The sequence below is a fragment of the Homo sapiens genome, chromosome 4, assembly GCF_000001405.40.
Source record: "Homo sapiens chromosome 4, GRCh38.p14 Primary Assembly".
Lineage (NCBI taxonomy): Eukaryota > Metazoa > Chordata > Mammalia > Primates > Hominidae > Homo > Homo sapiens.
This window is the reverse complement of record NC_000004.12, coordinates 157,200,169-157,205,411: the sequence shown is the minus strand read 5'-3', so window position 1 is coordinate 157,205,411 and position 5,243 is coordinate 157,200,169. Positions and strand designations below refer to the sequence as shown.

The following is a 5,243-nucleotide window of genomic DNA, read 5'->3' as shown; positions in this document are numbered from 1 at the left end:
AAAAAGCAAAAAAGTAAAAACGATTTTAAAAATAGAAGAAAGGCTTATAGAAGAATATTCAAAAAGAAAATATTTTTTAAAAGATGTACAATGTGTTTGTTTTAAGCCAAGTGTTATTACAAGAGTCAAAGTTTTTCAAAGTTAAAAGTTTAAAAATAAAAAAGAAGCAATACACTAAGAATAATTTATTATTGAAGAAAATAATATTTTAGAAATTTAGTAAGCCTAAATCTACAGTGTTTATAAAGTCTATAGTCATATGCAGTCATATCCTAGGCTTTTATATTCACTCACCCAGTAAATGTAAACTGGCTCACCCAGAGCAACCTCCAGTCCTGAAGCTCCATTCATGGGAAGTGCCCCTATACACCACTTTAATCTTTTATATCACATTTCTACGATATACCTTTTCTATGTTTAGGTATGTTTAGATACACAAATACCATTGTGTTACAATTGCCTGCAGTATTCAGTGCAGTAATATGCTGTACAGGCCCCGCACACACACGGGCTGGCCAAGCAGCCACTTCCTGGTGCGACCGTCAGTGGCGGGAAGATGGCGGAGGTGGTCATGGGCAAAGAAAAGCGCCGGCAGCAGCCGCTCCTCTGGCTGCCCCTGTCTCGCATCCGGGTCATCATGAAGAGCTTCCCGAGGTGTCCAGCGTCCACCAGGAGGCGCTGGTGCTCACGGCCAAGGCAATGGAACTCTGTTCAATATCTAGCCCCCTTTTCATAAAGACAAAGACATGGCAGTGCGAAGGAAAAGAAAACACTGACAGCGATTTAGCAAATACTGCAGAGGAATCAGAAACTTTTCAATTTCTTGAAGATATATTGCCAAAGAAGATTTTAGCTAGTAAATACCCGAAAATACTTAAAGAGGAAAGAGGGAAAAAGATGAGGAGAATGACAATGATAATGAAAGTGACCATGACCAAGTTGAATCCTAAACCAAAGAAGTGCTTTAAAAACCAACCTGGCGAAGGAGGACTGCCCTGGACCCGCTCCACTGCCGCCAAGTAAACACAACGCTGCGCCCCTTTAGTGTCTTCACTTCTTCGCAGACTTCCAGTGCATGGTATTCTTTCCAGGACAAGATTGAGGTCCTCATGTACCTGTGCCACAAACAGCCAGAGGGAAAGTGACCCAAACAGCTGTCCCTCTTTGACAGGTCCGCTCTACAGCTCAGACACCAAGAAAGCAGCGGATACCGGCAGCCATTGCGGGCTGATCTGCTGTAGCGCCAAACTGCAAGGACAATTTCCTTTTTCTTTCTTTCTTTTTTTTTTTTTTTTTTTGAGACGGAGTCTCGCCCTGTCGCCCAGGTTGGAGTGCAGTGGCACGATCTCGGCTCACTGCAAGCTCCGCCTCCTGGGTTCAAGCAATTCTCCTGCCTCAGCCCCCCCAGTAGCTGGGATTATGGGCGCGTGCCACCATGCCCGTCTAATTTTTGTATTTTTAGTAGAGAAGGGGTGTCATGATGTTGGCCAGGCTAGTGTCGAACTCCTGACCTCGTGATCTGCCTACTTCGGCCTCCCAAAGTGCTGGGATTACAGACGTGAGTCACTGCGTCCAGCCGCAAGGACAATTTTAACTTTTAAATTCACAATAGATTTTGAAGAGCTTCTACAGATCAGTTATGTACATTCATATATGTAAATTTTGGAATCAGTTCTTATAAACAGCCTGATTCAATTTTAGCTAGTTTATAAGTAGTATGTTACATTTGAATTCTTGTCTTTCAAGAAAAGTTGACTATTTGTTCAAATATTATTTTTCTACTGTAAAGAAATATACTTTTCTATTAAAAATCTGTACATATTTTTATGGTAAGATGCTTTATAGAACTAGTTTTAGAGCCCTCTATGGCTCTAAGTCCTTGCTTACTGCCTGCAAATTTTGTGAAATTTAAAAATAAGCATTCTAACACGTTTATTCCCATAGAAAAATTGCAAGTCAAATTATCAAACCAAATACAAAAATAAGCCTTACCTCTGGTATAAGCACGTTGTTCTAAAACAAACAAACAAACAAAAAAAACACACATTTTGAAACATTTCTTTGTTGAAGATCTCTCTCATACTGTTCTTTGCTTTAAATCCCTAGTACTTGTTTTTACTGTCTGTAAGAGAAAAACGGCCAGGTGCGGTGGCTTAAGTCCATAATCCCAGCACCCTGGGAGTCCGAGGTGGGTGGATAACCTGAGTCCAGGAGTTCGAGACCAGCCTGATCAACAAGGTGAAACCCCATCTCTACTAAAAATACAAAAAATTAACCAGTCATGGTGGCGGGTGCCTGCAATCCCAGCTACTCAGGAGGCTGAGGCAGGAGAATCGCTTGAACCCGGGAGGCGGAGGTAGCAGTGAGCCACGATCACACCAATGCACTCCACCCTGGGCAACAACAGCAAAAACTTCGTCTCAAAAAAAAAAAAAAAAAAAAAAAAAAAGATGAAACCTATTACAAGACTTTTTTTTTCCACAAAGGGTATATGTTTGGTTCCTCTCTCTCACTCTTTTTCTTTTTGAAGAAAAGGTTTATAATTTACATTCAGTAAAATCATCCTTTTTAGTGTCTAGTCTGTGAATTTTGACAAATGCATAGTTTTGTAACCAGTCGGTAGGCAGGACAGATCCATCACCCAAAACATTCCCCTCTGCCCCCTTGTTTTCAGTGTTTTCTGCCCCCTGGCAATCACTGATGTTTTCTGTTCCTCTTGTTTATTAACATTTATTTTAATATAAAATATTTTAAAATCAAAAATTATATATGCTGTACAGATTTCGTAGACTAACAGCCAGAAACTATACCACATGGCCTAGGTGTGTAGTAGGCTATAACATCTAGGTTTGTGTAAGTATACTCCAGGATGTTTGCACAATGAGGACATCACCATTAATGACACATTTCTCAGAATATAGCTTCATTGTTAAGCGACACGTGACTATAATACTTGGATAAAATTATGCTAATGTCTGTGATATTTGGTCAAATGAAATTCCCTCATATACTGAATTTTTATTTGTATTGCTCTGTTACATTTTCATTCATTCCACAAATATTTATTGAATACCTATGTGCTGCGAAGAGAGAAACTAATGTTAATATGATAGTTTGCCTTCACAGAGTTCATGTTCTAGTGAGAGAGACAGACAATTGCATTGAAGGGCTAAAGTTGTGTATAAAGTTACTTCTGTTCTCAAGATAAGAGGCATGATTCAAATAACACAGAAAACGAATTCCCCTTTCCACTGAGTCTTATGGAAGAGCAAAATAAGGAAGATGTCAATCGCAGAGCCTTCACCAGGTTTGAGTTACTGAAAGACAGCACAGACCTTGGCTAATCTGTTATTTAATAGAGCACTTTAAGGAGTCCTTAGAAGTACAAAGGTGGATCTTAGCTAAAAAGAGGCAGAAAGAGCTAAATTATACTTATTGTTTTTTGAATAAAAAGAGGAGACTGGAATTTGGAGAAGACATCCAGTACAAATGGCCCAGAAAACAGAGAAGCAAAGAAACACCGCATAGTAGGAGGCTAGATCTCACAGAGAAGGCGGTCAGAAATTCCCAGGAAGGAGGACCTAAACTACTTATTTTAAAAATGGAGGTCTGATATTCAAAGTTGTATTGCTAGGACATAGCCCCTTTCCTTGTCTAAACCTTCAGTGTAACTTTGCTTTGTAGGTTGAGTTCCACTTCAGCCTACAACCTTGCTTCTGCAAGAGCAGAAAGCAGTTACTACCTTGCTCGCTTCGACAGCACATGTACTAAAATTGTAACGATACAGAGAAGATTAGCATGGCCCTTGCGCAAGGACGACATGCGGACTCCTGAAGCGTTCTATATTTTTGTGGGAATTGAACAATGAGATCATTTGGTCACAGGGCGGGGAACATCACACACCAGGGCCTGTTGCAGGGTTGTGGGCTGGGGTAGGGATAGCGTTAGGAGAAATACCTAATGTAAATGATGAGTTGATGGGTGCAGCAAACCAACATGGCATTGTATACCCATGTATCAAACCTGCATGTTGTGCACATGTACCCTAGAACTTAAAGCATAATTTAAAAAAAAAGAAAAAGAAAGAAAGAAAGCAGTTACTACCTAGATTTTGGATATCTGGGGTAATGCCTACAACCTGTCACACATTTTAGTAAATCTGTTTTCAAAGGGAAAATAAATAACGGTATAACTATTGGAGAGTGAAGCCTGAGGAAAAATTTAGTCGTTTTTATTATGACGATACAGAGGTTTTTATACTTGGTTAAGGCAGGAAGGAATAAATGTTTCCTTTTCTAAAAAGAATAATTTGGTTGCTAAGTCTGTGAAGTTTTATGCAAATAACAAGAGAAATTGCAGCTCCAGTTGCCTTAACAGTAACTTAAATATATTGACTGATATAACTAGAATTCCAGACTTATAGCAGAATTTGGCTGATCCAATTCACCCCAATCACTCTGATTTTCTAAAATAAGTTTTAGTCTAAGGTTAAGATTAATTCCTCTTACAGTTGCAGCAACTGGTGTTTACACCAGTTGGAGAGAAAGCACTCTGGCTACAGTATTCCAACTACATGTCCTAAGGTATATCCAGCTGGCTTGTGTAGTTTACATGGCCAGTACTAACCCAATACTTACAACAGGGGAAAAGAAATGCAGTGATTATATCTGGGACCTACCACTACAGCTAGGAGTTAGTGAAATGTGTCAGTATTGTTTCAAAATGAGGAGGAAGAAGAAAGGGATGCTAAACAGAAAAACAAGTATGTCCATTAGAGTAGATAAATATGGGGCGTGGAGATAAGGCTAAATCTAAGAAAGAAGAAATTCTATGACTTCATACAGAAGCACATTTTCTCTAGACTGAGAATACTTTAAATGGATTTGATCACTTATATATCATTTGCTATGAATATAACATTCATAAACTATTTATTTTTAAAATGTAGGTCTGATATTCAAGGTTGCATTACTAGGACATAACCCTCTCCCTTGTCCAAACCTTCAGTGTAAGTTTGCTATGTAGACTGAATATAGCATTCATAGCAAATTATATCGAGTGATCAAAATTCATTGAAAGGCTTCTCAGTCTCATTTCAAAGGTGTTCCTTGCACACTGTATAAACTCTGTGAACTCACAACCTGGGAGAATTTCAAGGTCATAAAAGTAGTTTGAGGCCCAAATAAACCCTAAACTATACAGAATGTCTTCTTTTTTCCAGCAGTTTTATAACATCATAAATA

General features: G+C 38.9%; 2 pseudogenes; both read left to right on the top strand.

Annotated features, from left to right (window-relative positions):
* LOC391707 (chromatin accessibility complex subunit 1 pseudogene) lies at positions 548-1,145 on the top strand (annotated as a pseudogene).
* RNU6-582P (RNA, U6 small nuclear 582, pseudogene) lies at positions 3,745-3,849 on the top strand (annotated as a pseudogene).